General features: G+C 39.7%; 1 protein-coding gene across 51 annotated transcripts in view, besides 1 other annotated feature; it reads left to right on the top strand.

The window, feature by feature from the left end:
* The window catches only part of STK33 (serine/threonine kinase 33), a 259,405-nt gene that overhangs the window by 54,615 nt on the left and 186,526 nt on the right, over positions 1-18,264 (top strand). Inside the window, exon 2 of one of the 51 annotated variants that reach the window (NM_030906.4) lies at positions 6,118-6,266. The exons of the other annotated variants lie outside the window; for them this stretch is intronic. The gene's annotated coding sequence lies outside the window, so the exon portion shown is untranslated. The remainder of the gene's footprint in view (positions 1-6,117; positions 6,267-18,264) is intronic. 51 annotated transcript variants of the gene reach the window in all.
* Positions 5,916-6,135: an enhancer, noted in NCBI's record as "active region_4385". NCBI's record gives its function as "activates an Ori minimal core promoter by ATAC-STARR-seq in GM12878 lymphoblastoid cells {active_cell/tissue: GM12878}" and the evidence as "EXISTENCE:reporter gene assay evidence [ECO:0000049][PMID:35858748]".

Genomic DNA, 18,264 nt, shown 5'->3' with positions numbered 1-18,264 from the left:
GAAACTATTGGGTTGTTTACTCTTATTTATTGGTGTTGGTATTTTAGGGGTGCTCCATTGTTTCAGATCAAAAGTGAACAGATTCCTACCTGTTTGTAGGACATAGCCTGTTTTTGCTGAGACTTTGGTGGTGTCGCTAGGTCAAGTATTTCATCTTCATATTGGCCAGCTGGCTTGCTCCCTTGCCTTGTTCACTGATACACTGATTCTTAAACGATCACTCATGGCCTCATCAGACCAGGGCAAGAGAGATTCATCACCTCACTGAGGGAACATTTTGAGATGCAGCACCGTGTCAGAGATTGCCTTTAAGCCCCTAGAGAAACGGGCTTGATAGCAATGTAAGTCTCTATGATAATGGGCTAGGTGAGAATCTTAATTTTTACTTCGTTTTAAATTTTTGTTTTTTAACAAAGTTATCTACAATTTTGTTTTTTCAGAAAGTCATTATTGTTTTTTTTTCTCCTTCAGAATACCTCTTCTGTAAACTTTACAGGTTGTGTAATAGTAAAATCCTTCTGGCTGGAGCTGATACTTCTTGGATAGGTTACATATCAAGGGACAAAGAGATTCTGGACAAATCTTAAATGTACAAAACCCAGTTTATATTATCAGTAATATTTGAAAACATTTCTCTTATTTTTAGACATCCTTCTTTTGTCAGAAAGGTTAATTGGCCAGATAGCAGTGGTTCATTGGCCTGTAATTATCATCTGAGACAAGCGAGTTCCGGACCCTTGACTTTTAGGAAGTCCTCCTGTTAGAAGATCATAGCTCCATATTCTTTCCCTTTTTGACATTTTAAAAAAGTAGCTGACATCCTGTTTATCGTTCATTCTTTAGAGACATGCATATGTGTGTGTGTTCATTCATTCAACAAGCATTCGTTGAGCACTAGACACATGTAGGAAAGAACACATCTTGTTAGGTTAGGTCGCTCTGCCAAATTCACGTAAAATTGCCTATCTTCTTGAGCCTTTTGTTTTTCTAAAAATATGCCTACTACTGGCTTTTTTCTTTAGTTAGTGGCAACAAAGTAATCTTTTATAATACCTATGATGATGACTAAAATGACAAGATTCACCCTAAAATTTCCCTGTATAGGAAAACAATGACATGTTTACACAAATAAAGCTACAGTAATACATTACTGGGGGCATGATGGCATACTGATTTCAACAGCATGGACTTTGGAGGCAGACGGTTTGGATTCATATTCTAGCTTTACCATTTACTAGTTGTGTGACTGCAGGCAAATTACTTAACCTCAGTTTCCTCATTTGTAAAATTCAGATAATTGTAGTGCCTACTTCATAGAGTTGTTGTAAGTATTAAATGAGTTAATATGTATAAGATACTCATTATAGTGCCTGACACATCATGCTATTTAAGTATTAGCTTTTGTTATTGTTACTCTTTTTTTTTTTTGATACTGTCTGGCTCTGCCACTGAGGCTAGAGTGCAACAGCGCATTCTTGGCTCACTGCAATCTCTGCCTCCCACGGCTGAAACCATCCTCCTAGCTCAGCCTCCTGAAAGCTTGGACTACAGGTGCACACCACCATGCCCAACTAATTTCTTGTATTTTTGGTAGAGACGAGGTTTCGCCATGTTGCCCAGTCTGGCCTTGAATGCCTCGGCTCAAGCAATCCTCCTGCCTCGGCCTCCCAAAGTGCTAGGATTACAGGCATGAGCCACCATCCTGGCTCCTATTTTTTTTTTTTACTCAAGAAAACTTCTGATTCATTAGTTACTTATCCATTTTATTTATTTTTTATTATTTTTTTAATTTTTTTTTTTTTTTGAAACAGAGTCTCGCTCTGTTCCCCAGGCTGGAGTGCAGTGGCATGATCTCGGCCCACTGCAACCTCCACCTCCCTGGTTCAGCCTCCCATATTGGCCAGGCTGGTCTTGAACTCCTGGTCTTGATCTGCCTGCCTTGGCCTCCCAAAGTGCTGGGATTACAGGCATGAGCCACAGCGCTTGGCACATGTCCATTTTAATCTCATGTTATTCTAAACAATAATGTGTACTACAGAAAATCACTTATCATACCAAAAACCAGGGAAATCTCAACTTGATTGAGAAAAGTCAGTAACAGACACCAATATTGAGATGACACAAGTGTTGGAATTATATGACAAGAACTTTAAAGCAGCCATGGTAAAAAATGCTTCAGTGAGTAATTATGAACACACTTGAAACAAAATTTAAAAAAGGCGGGGGCCAGGCATGGTGGTTTACGCCTGTAATCCCAGTACTTTGGGAGGCTGAGGTGGGAGGATCACTTGAGGCCAGGGGTTTCAGACCAGCCTAGGCCACATAGCAAGACCCTGCCAGGCATGGTGGCTCATGCCTGTAATCCTAGCACTTTGGGAGGCTGAGGTCGGCGGATCACCTGAGGTCAGGAGTTCGAGACCAGCCTGGCCAACATGGTGAAACCCCATCTCTACTAAAAATACAAAAGTTGGTCAGGTGTGGTGGCGGGTGCCTGTAATTCCAGCTACTCGGGAGGCTGATGTGGAGAATCACTTGAACCCAGGAGGCAGAGGTTGCAGTGACCCGAGATGGAGCCACTGCACTCCAGCCTGGGTGACAGAGTGAAACTCTGTCACAAAAAAAAAAAAAAAAAAAAAAAAAATCTTTTTTTTTTTTTTTTTTTTAATTAGCTGGGTATGGCAGTGCATGCCTATAGTCCTAGCTACTTGGAAGGCTGAGACAGGAGGATTGCTTGAGCCCAGGAGCTCAAGGTTGCAGTGAGCTATGATCATCATGCCATTGTACTCCAGCCTGGGCAACAGAGTGAGACCTTGTCTCTTCAAACAAACAAACAAACAACAAATAAACAACAACAAAAAAAGAAAAGAAAAAGGGACATTTCAGCATAGAAATAGAAGATATGAAGAAGAACCAAATGAAATTTTAGTAGTGAAAAATACAACAATTGAATAAAAAACTTACTAGCATTTAGGTTCAGACTTGACTAAATTCTACTTCAGTTGTTAAACAATAAAACTTCATAGCTGGTGCTTTGTATTTCCTATTGTATTACATCATGAGCACATAATGGTTTCTGGTTGTCCTACTTTTAAGTGAGGCTAATAGTGATTAATCTGTTCAGGTGGTATCAGCCTGTTCCTTCCATTGTGAAGTTCCTTGACCAATCTTCTCTTTATTCTTGGTGTTCTGAAATTTTACGGTGATTATTGAGGTGGATCTTTTAAAAAAATTAATTTTGCTCTGAAGTCTCTGGGCTCTTTCACTTTGGAAATTCATGTTCTTTTAAAAAATTTGTACAAATTTATGAGATACCTGTGAAATTCTGTTGCATGTAGATAATGTGTGCAGTAATCAAGTCAGGATATTGAAGGTGTCCATCACCTGAGTACAATACATTTTTGTTAACTATAATTACCCTACTCTGCTATCAAACATTGAATTTATTTCTTCTATCTAACTGTATGTTTGTACCCTTTAATTCAGTTCTCTTCATCCTCCCTCCTCCCCACGTTCACCCTTTCCAGTCTCTCTTCTCTACCTTTCACTCTGTACCTCCATGTGATCAAATTTTTAGCCCCCACATGTAAGTGAGAACATGCGTTATTTGCCTTTTTGTGCCTGGCTTATTTCACTTAAGATAATGACTTCCAGTTATGTCCATATTGCTGCAAAATGGTATGACTTTATTCTTTTTTATGGCCAAAGAGTATTCCATTCCAGTATTCTAGTATATATATACCACATTTTCTTTATCTATTCATCTGTTGAGGGACACTTAGGTTGATTCCATATCATTACTATTGTGAATAATGCTGCAATAAACATGTGAGTGCAAGTATCCCTTTGATATATTGGTTTCTTTTCCTTTGGGTAGATACTGAGTCGTGGGATTACTGCATTGATAGTAATTCTTTTTTAGTTTTAGTTTTTGAGAAATCTTCATACTGCTTTCCATAGTGGCTGTACTAGTTTACATTCCCACCAACAGTTTATAAGAGTTCCCTTTTCTCTACATCCTTGCCAACATCTATTATTTTTTATTTTAATAATAGCCATTCTGATTGGGGTAAGATGATATCTCATTGTGGTTTTGATTTGCATTTCTGTGATGATTAGTGATATTGAGCATTTTTTTCACATGTGTTGGCCATTTGTAGCTCTTCTTTTGAGAAATGTTTATTTATGTCCTTTGCCCACCTTTTAGTGGGACTGTCTTTTTTCCTGTTGAGTTGTTTGAGTTCCTTGTATATTCTGGATATTAGTCCCCTGTTGAATGAATAGTATGGGGAGAGGTAATGGTCTGGCTGTGTAGAACCCAGTGATACTTTTGAAATTTTTGCATTGATTGGGAGAACTTAAACCTGTAAAGTGCATTAGTAACATTTTAGAAATAAGCCCAATAACTCAGTATATGGACCATTAATGCTTCTCATACTGAGGCTTAGAAAAAATCGGAAGACAGTACCAGACACTGTGGTGACACGTTCATACCCAAGCAGTCATGGCAGAATATCCATGTTCTCTCGTCTATTTTGTATAAAGGAAATATTTTTTCCTAAGACTCATCTCTGTACCAGGCTTAGGGATGACTTTCCATACTCTCTCTCCCCTTCTCTGACGTCTTTCTAAGGTGCTTAGAGGACGTTATCATCCCAGGGGAATATTTTAACTCTTTTTATTCCTAAACATTTTACTTAGAATTTAACATTTTCCCAGAGACAGTGTGAAGTCCTTTCAATGGCAGCCTTTGATCTCCTTAAGATCTATAGGACTTTATAGGGATACACTTTCATTTATGAGTATTATAGATTGCAGTTCTCTAATTATAACAATTTCATTTTGGTGTGTCTTATGCCACTCAAAACAGTATAATGCCCACTGGAACCACAGATTTGTTTTCAATGGATGATGATTTAATATGTTACAAAGTTGAATCTAGCCATTTTTTTATGCCTTAGAACAATGAGTTCCAAATTGACCCAGACCACCTCAGTATGAAAAAATTTACCTTGACACACACACACACACACACACACACACACACAGAGAGAGAGAGAGAGAGAGAGAGAGAGAGAGAGAGAAATATATATACTTGCTGGAACAAGTTTGAAGAAATAATACCCTTATGATCAATGTTATACTCTTATACTTTCTATTCTATTTAATTTAAAAATGTGTGCCCACCAAAATGACCTATAGTTTGTAAAACATTGCAGTGTGGTTCTTCCTATTTTTGGGGAGTAGAGTGGGTTAGGCTGTGGACTGTTTTGGGACTCTGATGAATGTACTGGAATCTTTCCTCAGAAAAATGCACGTATAAACAATTTTTTTTTTTTTTGAGATGCAGTCTTGCTCTTGTTGCCCAGGCTGGAGTGCAGTGGTGCGATCTTGGCTCACTGCAAACTCTGCCTCCCGGGTTCAAGCGATTCTCCTGCCTCAGCCTCCTGAGTAGCTGGGATTACAGGCGCCTGCCACCACGCCCGGCTAATTTTTGTACTTTTAGTAGAGACGGGTTTTCACCATGTTGGCCAGGCTGGTCTTGAACTCCTGACCTCAGGTGATCCGCCCTCCTCAGCCTCCCAAAGTGCTGGAATTACAGGTGTGAGCCACTGGCTCCGGCACATATACAGTTTGAGGGCATAAACATGGACTCTGTAGTTCTGAATGCTTCCATGCTAGATACAATTTGAAGTTACCTTGCTTTGTTGATACATTTCACCCAGCATGACTGGACAAATATTATCAACTGTACAGCAGATATTCTGCCCTTCTTTCCTTTTGCTATGTATTATTAATACAGGGTTACCAGAGAAACCATGTAATAAATAAAACCACAAACAAAACCATGTAACAAATAAAACTTTATTTTACATATCAAATTCTTGGGGGTCTTTATTTTAGAATTGGAGCCACAGCTCTGTAGGAATGTTTTGGAAGACTGGCTTTTTGTTGTGAACTTCTGCCTTCCCTCCCTTTTACTTTTCATGCTTTCTCTTTCCTTTCTTAAATATTAATGGTGTTTTTTCTGTGTGCCAGGCTTTGTTCGTGCGGAACTGTAGTGGTGAGAAAAACTCCATGTCTGGGCACGCCTGGCTGATCTTCACCTCTTTCTTCTAGGACCTTCCTCTGGGGTTAGTTCTCTGGTGCCACCTTCAGTGATCTGTGTGGCAGCTCTGCTGCTCACTTCTGGCTTTACTGGGTTTTGGTATTTAACTGTTGCTTACGCACACTGGAAATTTTCACCTGCAGTTTTTCTTCTGCCTAAGGTAACAAACATGTACACATATTTTCTTGTGCCATTTTTCTTTTGCCTAGAACAACAGACTTTTTTTTCTTTTAAGTAATAATGTAAATATGCAAATCTTGAAATGTAATTTCTGCTGTTGATATACTCTGGGCCACTATTTTGGAACTAACATCATGGGAAAAGGGTGTTAATGTGCAAAAATTACCTCAAAGTTTAGAGTTAGCATCTTTGAAAGATGTTTTGACAATAAGGACATTTTCAACTGATAAAATGTTGGTTTATAGCATTTGAAACATTATTCATATTCTTTCAAGAGCAGACATCAATCTCAGAAGTCTTGTGTACAAACATGACAGAATTGGTCTGTATTATACTCTGATAAAAATCACAAAATGGTTTTATTTTTCTACTTTTTTATGAGTGTGAAACATTTGCATATTATTGCAATAACTTCCATAGCCTTTGGAGCAAAATCTGATATATTGTTTATGGTGCAGTTAAAAATGGGTGCATTACATTCATATTTTGTTGCAGTTATCCAACAGATTTTGAAAATAATCTTAAACCTTATATATTTTATAATCAGGGTTAGCAAACACACAGCATGCATGCTGCAAGTTACCCTTTCAATGTGTGTAGAAGACATCTCTAATCAATTGCAACGTTGTTTCCTGCTGAGCTTGGGCAGTCTCACATCCTCTTCAACATAGTGATTTGGTTGTTGCTTAGTGCAGATAGCCTGTGCCATGAAAACTATTTGTCATATTAGTTTTGCACCTTAACCAATGGAGCGAATATGTCAGCAGAATATCCAAAAAGTCTGCTTAAGTTTGGAAAAGGGAAAATATAATGAGGTATAATTGAGGTAGAATAAGGTAGTGGTTTAGACAGGGCACGGTAAACTTTTTGGGCAAAGGGCCAGATGGCAAGTATTTTAGGTTCTGTGGGCCATATGGTCTCTGTCATACCTACTCAACCCTGCCATTGTAGTGCAAAAGCAAAGATAGATAATAAGTGAATGAATAAACCTGTATGTATTCCAATAAAACTTTATTTATAAAAGCAAGCGACAGGCCAGATTTGGCCACTGGGCCATAGTTTGCTAACTCCTGGTTTAAATCAGTGCTACTCAAAGTGAATTGTGTGAATAAGTGATGGTAACATCACATGTGTGCATGTTACAAATGTAGATCCCTGTTCTGTACTCCGAACTTACAGAATCAGTCTGGGATGGGGCCCAGGAATGTGTGTTTATTAGCTGGTGAGGTTATTTTGAGGCTCACTAAAATTGGAAAGTCCCTGGTTTAAATAATATTACACTTCTCTTCTTTAAAAGTTTCATATACCCCAGCTGTGAAACTGCCTGATGCATTTATTTTAATGGCTGATCTTTAATCACTTTTCTTATCTCTTCTGTGGCATTTGATCTATCCAAGTTTTTTACTTCTTGGGTCATAATTGGGAATTTACATTTTGCTAGAAAATTATTTCCTCTAGGCTTCATATTTGTTGCTGTGGCGGTTTTAAAACATTTCTGCAAAATTTTTGACATTCCTATCAAGATGTGAGTTTATGCCTACTTTCCTTGGGTCTAGGCAGGCTTATGACTGCTTCAACCACTGGAAGATGGCAGAAGTGATGCTGACTTCCAAGGCTGGTTCAGAAAAGGCTATGCAGCTTTTTCCCGGTTCTGTGGGAGGCTCACTCTGGGGAACTCAACTGCCATGTAAGAAGTCTGGGTCTTCCATGCTGGAGAGCCCATATGTGAGCATCCCCATTGATAGGCCAAGCTAAGCTCCCAGCTCAGCTCCTGCCATCCGCCAGCATCTGTTGACAGCTGGTTGGCATCTTGGATAAACAGTGTAATTTGAGCTTTCACAGAGCTCCAACCCAGCTGTCATCTCAACGTAATCACATGACAAACCCAGCCTAGCTGAGCCCTGTCTGAATTCTTGACCTAAAGCATCTGTGAGCATAATAAAATAATTGTTTTAAACCACTAAGTTTTAGGGTAGTTTGTTATGCAGCATTTGTAAATAGCACGCAAAATTGCAAGTACTATTGTCTTATAATTGCCTTAGTATCTTTCTTACCTGTATTTATGAATTTTTTATACTCCTAATCATTTATATATTTTTCTCTCAGTTTCCTTTAAGCGAAGTTGGGGGGTATTTATTTTATTAATCATTTCAAAGATCAATTTTTAGATTTCTTCATTTTACAATTTGAGATGTTTAAGTTTTATTAATTGAAGCTTTACCTTTATTCATTTTTTTCTTCCTACTTTCTATGTATTTAATTGTTCCTATCCTAGTTGCTAAAAGTGAGCACTAATTTTCTTTTTCATCTTTCTTGCCTCATAAAAAATGCTTTTGAGGCTGGGTGTGGTGGCTCGCGCCTGTAATCCTAACACTTTGGGAGACTGAGGTGGGCGGATCATCTGAGGTCAGGAGCTCAAGACGAGCCTGGCCAACATGGCAAAACCCTGTCTCTACTAAAAATAGAAAAATTAGCTGGGCTTGGTGGCAGGCGCCTGTGGTCCCAGCAACTCAGAGAGGCTGAGGCACGAGAATTGCTTGAACCTGGGCGGCAGAGGTTGCAGTGAGCCGAGATTGCACCACTGCCCTCCAGCCTGGGCGACAGAGCAAGAGTCTGTCTCAAAAAATAAAATAAAATAAAAGAGAAATGCTTTTGAAGCTTGAAGCTATAAGGTTTCCTTTAAGTTTGGCTTTCACGGCATCCTATTAAGTTTGCTATGAAACATTTTCCTCTTCCTTGTCTTCTGTTTGTAATTTCAGTTTTTATATTCTTTTTATCACAGCATTTTGAAAGTGTTTCTAAATTTCCAAATAATTTTTTCTTTTTTATTCTTGGTGGTGGTGGTGGTAGATTTTTTTCCCCCTATTTTTCCAACATGTGTAATAAATACACATTTCTCCACTGGTACAAGAAAATAAAATTTCAACTATTTCCCCCACCAGGACCCTCTCTTCTTCCCTTACCAGTAAATTTCCTTTTATTTTAGAGTGCTTTTACTTCCTGTTTCCCCACCAGAGACATTTAAATGCTCTTTTGTCCGCTATCTCCCCATGTCTGACCTTAATGCTTAATACCTCCTTCCTTAATACCTAAGTGTAAAAAAAACCAGTGTGGTAATTTTTGCCTCAGACTATTATTAGGTTTTTATTACTTATTTTGCACTGATACTACACATTCTTATTCGATTTCAGGACACTGTGTGATGCTCTCCACATTCTCATCTTTGTAGATGCAAAGCCTCTCTTCCATCCTAAGGAGCAGGCAGGACTTCATACACCTTTTCCGCCCCCTCTCGCACCAGCTCATCTGGGCCAGGAAGACCAGCATGTTCATTTAAAAACATCCAGCTCTGTCTGTTTTTTGGGGGAATATACTAGTTTTCTCTTGCTCACGTAACTAATTACCACAAACTTAGTGGCTTAAAACAATATGAATGTATTATCTTATTGTTTTGGAGGTCAGAAGTCTGAAATCAGTTTCACTGGGCCAAAATGAAGGTGTCAGCATGCCTGTGTTCTTCCTCGGGGCTTTTGAAGAAAATGCATTGCCTTGCCTTTCTCAGCTTCTAGAAGCCACCTGCGATCCATGGCTTATGGTCCCTTTTTTTCATCTTTAACGAGTCTTTCTCATACTGTATCACTCTGAGACTCCTATTATAACATCTCCTACTATTACCTTTGCCCTTTTTTTCCCTCCTTATAGGGATCCTTGTGATTACTTAGGGCCCACCAGATAATCACATCAACAACAGCTTTTTGCCATGTAAGGAAACATATTCCCAGGGTCAGAGGGTGAGCTTTTTGGATATCTTAGGGGGAGGGAGGCATTATTATGTCTACCAGAGGGGCCCATAAATCTCTCAAGACCAGGCTTTTCCTAGGAACCTTGAATTCTGAATCTTGTCCTATGGCTCTTTGCCACTAGACCTCAGTATATCTTTTGACTTAGCAGAGAAAAATTTGTCTTACACTAGCTTTCTCTGTGACCCCATAAGAGCAGAGGTTCTACTCACACTCTCTAGGCCCTACCTGCCTCTGGCCCAGGAAGTAAAAGAGTTAGTTTGGAGTTAGGAGAAGCATCAGCAATTATGTTTTCAGGCTGCCATGTTCCTAGAATCTTTGTCTCTACACTGTAAATATTATTGATGAATAGATGGCCTCTTATACTAAATAGTTTTAGACTGTAGCAGAGAAAACAGTTTAATGGTTAAGAACAAGACGGAATCAGACTGTTGGGATTCAAACCCTAGTTTCGCTGTTTACTACGTATGTGACCTTGGGCAAGCCATATAGCCATACTGACTTAGTTTCCTCATCTGAAAAATGGATAATGATGCTATTATAAAAAACAGGGATAATGATAACACTAGTAATACTCACATAGTGGTATTGTAAAGATTAAATGATATTGTAATTTATAGCAAGTGTTCAGTACACTACCTGGCACATGTTATTTCCTTAAATAAACTAAAATAGGCTCATATGCAAACATTTTGGTTTGTCTTCCATGCGCCTTTTTTGGACTCACCTACTGGCACTGTATACTCCAGCCATACCACAGAATTCACCGTAAAAGCTTTGAGGTGAAAAGCGTGTGCACATGATACAAAGGGATATGGCCACAGAAGGCCAAGAGGTCTTTTTCATAACTGTCGTGAATTGACTAATGTTCCAGGTTTTGGTCTTTAGTCTTAAAGGAATATAAATATTATCTTGTCTTTATCTCAGAATATTTGGGTTCAAGATTACTGATAGATATCATTGACCTAAGGGAAGAAACTGAGGCAAAATTAATATATTTGGGCCATGGTTGAAAACTGAAGCTCAGGAGCTATAGATTGAAGTTGCCCTGAGTATATGCTTGGATTAGCAGCAGTTACCAGTGGGAAAACAAGAAGTTAGGGAGCAGTTCCTAAATTGTTTACCAATCATTTACATTGGTTCATTAAAATAACATAAGTTGTTTGGCTATACATTGTTTTTTGTATCACAAGTTCCAGGAATATGAGGATAATGGTGAAGGACAATTGTACAACTTACGGTAACTTTTTAGATACTTTATCAGCTAGTCTGGAAACTATAGGAAAGGAAAGAAAAAACAAAATGCCTTTAAACAATTACTTGCAGGCATGGGTACAGGGAACCTGAGGGAAGTCTCATGCTCCTGACTCTCTGGGCTTGATACCTTTTGCATAACTCGCATTCCTCAGACTGCTCTGAGCCACTTTTCTTTCTCAATACTAACAAAGCTCGTGAGAAATCCATGTATAACACTACCCAATGCATATTATACTTACATGGACCTGACTAGTAGATTCTCTCCCTGTAGGTAAACATCATGAAAAAACACATTACAACTAGAAGGTTGTGTATGGAATATGAAATAAGAATGGGGATAATTTATATAATTCAAATATTTAATTAGATAATCTATAGTTGCCTTTTGCATCTATTTCTATGATAGCACCATAGGGATTACCTTGTCAGAGGAAATGTAGTAGTGGAAGTGTTTTGGTAAATGGGCTGTTTCCTCTGGAAAATACTCATATAGTCATTGCTATTGTGGTTGCTTCTGTGATTTTACTGTTTCTTCTCTATGCCTCATGTCTATGGAAACTTCTTCTTAGATATAATAATTTTTCTGGTTATCTTGCTCTGGTCTAAGAGCCACCATCTGTTTACTATGTATTGTTTTGTATAAATAAACCCTCAGAAAAGCACAGTATTTTGTTTAATTCCAAGTTCTTGCCATGGGAACAGCTTACTTGTGAACTGTGCCTACTTATGTCTTCCACCCCAACCCTCTTTTCTTCCTGGGGAAATACCTTGGGATACTGTTAAAAAAAAAAACAAAAACTCACTTCTTGTGAAACATAACAGCAAACAGAGAAATGTACAAAGCAAAAATGTACAGGTTGGTGATTTATCACAAAGCGAACACTCATGTAACCCATCACTCAGATCAATAATAGAACATTGTCAACATGCCAGAAGCCCTGCCTCAGGGCCCAGCCAGTTTGTATAGCTTTCTTTCCCTCTATCTTTTAGAATTTGGCTGGGCACAATTGCTCATGCCTGTAAGCCCAGCACTTTGGGAGGTCAAGGTGGGCGGATCATTTGAGGTCAGGACTTCTAGACCAGCCTGGCCAAGATGGTGAAAACCCGTCCGTTCCTATGAAAAATACTATATATATATATATGTTAGCTGGGCATTGTGGCGGGCACCTGTAATCCCAGGCTGAGGCAGGAGAATTGCATGAACCCCGGAGGCGGAGTTTGCAGTGAGCCGAGATTATGTCATTGCACGCCAGCCTGGGCAACAAGAGTGAGACTCAATCTCAAAAAAAAAAAAAAAAAGAGGAAATCTCTGTCTTTACTTTTACAATAATTACCTGTTTTCTTTTTTCCATCTAGGTATGTGTCTCTAGTTTTACCTTTTTTTTTTAACATATAAACAGAATCTTACAGTATCTATATTTTTGTCTGGGTTTTTTTTTTTTGCTCAGTATCATTTGTAATATTCATCAATGATGTCACATATAACTAGTTATTTTCTTTTTGTGTGTGTGTGTGTTTTTAGTGTATATATCTTACACATCTTGCATTAGATTTATACCTAGGTATTTGATAATTTTGATAACTAGTTGTTTTCAAACATGCAGAATAATAAGCCATTGAATGAATATACCATCGTATTCATCCAGCTGTTGATGGCCATTTGGGTTGTCTCCAGGTTTTTATTGCTATGAATTATCCTGCTCTGAACATTCAGGTACATGTATTTTGGAGCACATCTGCAGACTTTTAAGTTGGGAACATACTTAAGAGAGAAATTTTTGAGTTATAAGATATGCGTATATTTAACTTTAATAGATAATAGATAATGCTAAATAGTCTTCCAAAGCAGTTGTACCAAATAACTTTCTTTTTTTTTTTTGAGATCGAGTTTCCCTCTGTTGCCCAGGCTGGAGTACAGTGGTGCGATCTCGGCTCATTGCAACCTCTGCCTCCTGGGTTCAAGCGATTCTCCTGCCTCAGCCTCCCGAGTAGCTGGGATTACAGGCTTGACACCATGACCAGCTAATTTTTGTATTTTTAGAGACGGGGTTTTACCACGTTGGCCAGAATGGTCTCAATCTCTTGACTTCATGAACTTCCTCCCTCGGCCTCCCAAAGTACTGGGATTACAGGCGTGAGCCACCATGCCTGGCCTAAATAACTTTCTTAAGTAGTAGTGTATGCGAGTTCTCTTTTTTCTGCTTCTTTGCCAACATTTGCTTTTGCTAGCCTTTATAACTTTAGTTGTGTGAGTGGGTGTGTAGTGGTATCCTATGGTGATTTTAACATGCTTTTCCCTGACTGCTAATGAGATTAGCACTTTTTATTATGTTTATTGGCATTTGGGTATCCTCTTTTGTGAAGGCCCCCTTGCAGTTTTTTATTTCTTCCAGTTTTCTGTTATGTTGCCTATCTTTTGAAATTAATTTGTAGGAAGTTTTTATACATTCTAAATATAAGCTCTTTATCACGTGTTGCAAATGTCATTTCCCATTTTGGCTTTTCCTTTCACTCTCTTAATGGTATCTTTGATGAACAGAAATTCTTAAGGCTTTATCGTCTTTGCATTTTATTTAAGAAATCTTTTTGTACCCCAGGGTCATAAAGCATCTTCTAGTGTTTTCTTTTGGAAGCTTTATTGTTTTGCCTTTCAGGTTTACATTTATAATCCGCCTGAAATTAATATTAATGTATGGTGTAGAATAGAATTCGGGTTTCCTTTCATATGAATATGTAATTTTCTCACCACCATTTATTCAAGAGGCTATAATTTTTTCACTGCTTTGCAATGTCATCTTTGTTTTAAATCAAGTGACTATATACATGAGTCTGTTTCTGTGTCACTGTTCTATATATTTCATCTGTTTGGCTGTTCTTAAACCAATACTATATGTGCTAATACAGCTAAGTAAGTGCTGATAGCTGATTGAGAAAGTCCTCCCACTTTTTCTTCTTTAAGATTGTCTTTGGCTATCCTTGACAGTTTGCATTACCATATACATTTTGTAATTAGCTTGTTCAACACATATGCATATACACACCTATTGGAGTTTTGATTGGGATCTTATAGAATCCCTAGATCAGCTTAGGGGGAGCTTCATTTAAAAAATACTGAATCTTTCAATCTATGAACATAGTATGTCCTTCCATTTGTTTACATATTCTTTTATATTATTCAAAACGCTTTACAGTTTTCTGCTTAAAGTTCTATCTTTTTGTTAGATTTATTCTTTCACATTAAAAAACCAGTTTTTTTAGGTATAGTTGACATACAAACAGCTGTACATATTTAATATGTACAACTTAATAAATTTGGAGATAAGTGTACAGCTGTGAAACCATCACTGCAGTGTATGCTATAAACATATCTATCCCCTCAAAAAGTTTCCTCTTGGCATCTTTATTATTACTATTATTATTATTTTTGTGATGCAAATATTTAACATAAGATCTACCATATTGGCAAATTTTTAAGTACAGTAAGTCCTTACTTAATGTCATTGATAGGTTCTTGGAAACTTTGACTTTAAGTGAATGAAGTAAAACAAAACCAATTTTACCAAAATAGGTGAATTGATTTAAATAAGAGTGAAATATGGCATATTTATGGTATTATGGCATATTTCTGGTCACAAAAACATTATCAAACTTCTGAATAAAAACTCAAACCACTTCTAACCTTAAACATTGTGTTAAGATAGTTCATCATGGTTTTGATTTGCATTTCCTGGATAATTAGTGATGTTGAGCACATTTTCATATATTGTAGGCTATTTGTATGTCTTCTTTTGATAAAAGCCTATTTAATTCCTTTACCTGTTTAAAAATCAGATTATTTTATTTTTTCTACTGACTTGTTAGAGTTCCTTATATAATTTAGATGTTAATATGTTATCAAATATATGGTCTGCAAATATTTTTTCCCGTTTTTTATTTATTTATTTATTTTATAGTATTTATTGATCGTTCTTGGGTGTTTCTCGGAGAGGGGGATTTGGCAGGGTCATAGGACAATAGTGGAGGGAAGGTCAGCAGATAAACATGTGAATAAGGGTCTCTGATTTTCCTAGGCAGAGGACCCTGCGGCCTTCTGCCGTGTTTGTGTCCCTGGGTACTTGAGATTAGGGAGCGGTGATGACTCTTAAGGAGCATGCTGCCTTCAAGCATCTGTTTAACAAAGCACATCTTGCACCGCCCTTAATCCATTTAACCCTGAGTGGACACAGCACATGTTTCAGAGAGCACTGGGTTGGGGGTAAGGTTATAGATTAACAGCATCCCAAGGCAGAAGAATTTTTCTTAGTACAGAACAAGATGGAGTCTCCCATGTCTGCTTCTTTCCACACAGACACAGTAACAATCCGATCTCTTTCTTTTTCCCACATTTCCCCCTTTTCTATTCGACAAAACCGCCATCGTCATCATGGCCCATTCTCAATGAGCTGTTGGGTACACCTCCCAGACAGGGTGGCGGCCGGGCAGAGGGGCTCCTCACTTCCCAGACGCGGCGGCCGGGCAGAGGCGCCCCCCACCTCCCAGACGGGGCGGTGGCTGGGCGGAGGCACCCCCCACCTCCCGGAAGTGGCGGCTGCCTGGCGGGGGCTGCCCCCCACCTCCCGGACTGGGCAGCTGCCGGGCGGAGATGCTCCTCACTTCCCAGACGGGGAGGCTGCCGGGCAGAGGGGCTCTTCGCTTCCCAGATGGGGCGGCTGCCGGGTGGAGGGGCTCCTCGCTTCCCAGACGGGGCGGCTGCCCAGCGGAGGGGCTCCTCGCTTCTCAGACAGGGCGGCCGCCGGGTGGAGGGGCTCCTCACTTCTCAGACGGGGCGGCCGGGCAGAGACGCTCCTCACCTCCCAGACGGGGTTGCGGCTGGGCAGAGGCGCTTCCCACATCCCAGACGATGGGCGGCCGGGCAGAGACGCTCCTCACTTCCTAGATGGGATGGCGGCTGGGAAGAGGCACTCCTCACTTCCCAGACTGGGCGGCTGGGCAGAGGGGCTCCTCACATCCCAGATGATGGGCGGCCAGGCAGAGACGCTCCTCACTTCCCAGACGGGGTGGCGGCTGGGCAGAGGCTGCAATCTCGGCACTTTGGGAGGCCATCGCAGGCAGCTGGGAGGTGGAGGTTGTAGCCAGCCGAGATCACGCCACTGCCCTCCAGCCTGGGCAACATTGAGCACTGAGTGAGCGAGACTCCGTCTGCAATCCCGGCAGCTCAGGAGGCCGAGGCTGGCAGATCACTCGCGGTCAGGAGCTGGAGACCAGCCCGGCCAACACGGCGAAACCCCGTCTCCACCAAAAAAATACGAAAACCAGTCAGGCGTGGTGGCGCGCGCCTGCAATCCCAGGCACTCGGCAGGCTGAGGCAGGAGAATCAGGCAGGGAGGTTGCAGTGAGCCGAGATGGCGGCAGTACAGTCCAGCCTCGGCTGGGCATCAGAGGGAGACCGTGGAAAGGGGAGACGAGGGAGAGGGAGACCGTAGAAAGGAAAGAGGAAAGAGGGAAAGGGAGAGGGAGAGGGAGGGCTTTTTCCCGTTTTATAGATTGCCTTTTTTTGTTTTGCTGACTGCTTTCATTGTGGTGCAGATTTTTAGTTTGATGTAATCTTGCTTTTCTATTTTTGCTTTTATTGCATGTGCTTTTGGTGTCATATCCAGTAAATCATGGCCAAAGACAATATCAAAAGATTTTCCTCCAGATTTTCTTCCAGGAATGTTACACTTTCATTTCTTGAGTTTAAGTATTTTGAGTTTTTGTGTGTGGTGTTAGATAAAGATCCAATTTCATTCTTTTTTTTTTTTTGGCCCCAGTGTGTGATGTTCCCCACCCTGTGTCCAACTGTTCTCATTGTTCAGTTTCCACCTATGAGGGAGAACATGCGGTGTTTGGTTTTCTGTCCTTGGGATAGTTTGCTCAGAATCATGGTTTCTAGCTTCACCCATGTCCCTGCAAAGGACATGAACTCATCCTTTTTATGGCTGCATAGTATTCCATGGTGTATATGTGCCACATTTTCTTAATCCAGTCAATCATTGATGGACATTTGGGTTGGTTCCAAGTCTTTGCTATTGTGAATAGTGCCACAGTAAACATCATGTGCATGTGTCTTTATAGCAGCATGATTTATAATCCTTTGGGTATATGCCCAGTAATGAGATGGCTGGGTCAAATGGTATTCCTAGTTCTAGATACTTGAGGAATTGCCACACTGTCTTCCACATTGGTTGAGCTAGTGTGCAGTCCCACCAACAGTGTAAAAGTGTTTTTTTTCTCCACATCCTCTCCAGTATCTGTTGTTTCCTGACTTTCTAATGATCACCATTCTAACTGGCATGAGATGGTATCTCATTGTGGTTTTGGTTTGCATTTCTCTGATGGCCAGTGGTGATGAGATTTTTTTCATGTGTCTATTGGCTGCATAAATGTCTTCTTTTGAGAAGTGTCTGTTCATGTCCTTCACCCACTTTTTGATGGGGTTGTTTGATTTTTTTTCTTGTAAATTTGTTTAAGTTCTTTGTAGATTCTGGATATTAGCCCTTTCAGATGGGTAGATTGTAAAAATTTTCTCCCATTCTGTAGGTTGCCTGTTCACTCTGAGGGTAGTTTCTTTTGCTGTGCAGAAGCTCTTTAGTTTAATTAGATCCCATTTGTCAATTTTGGCTTTTGTTGCCATTGCTTTTGGTGTCTTAGTCATGAAGTCTTTGCCCACACCTATATCCTTAATGGTATTGGCTAGGTTTTCTTCTAGGGTTTTTATGGTTTTAGGTCTAACATTTAAGTCTTTACTCCATCTTGAATTAATTTTTGTGTAAGGTGTAAGGAAGGGATCCAGTTTCAGCTTTCTACATATGGCTGACCAGTTTTCCCAGCACCATTTATTAAATAGGGAATCCTTTCCCCATTTCTTGTTTGTGTAAGGTT

The sequence above is a fragment of the Homo sapiens genome, chromosome 11 (assembly GCF_000001405.40).
Source record: "Homo sapiens chromosome 11, GRCh38.p14 Primary Assembly".
Taxonomy (NCBI): Eukaryota; Metazoa; Chordata; class Mammalia; order Primates; family Hominidae; genus Homo; species Homo sapiens.
Note: the sequence above shows the minus strand (reverse complement) of the source record. Positions and strands in the feature narration are given on the sequence as shown.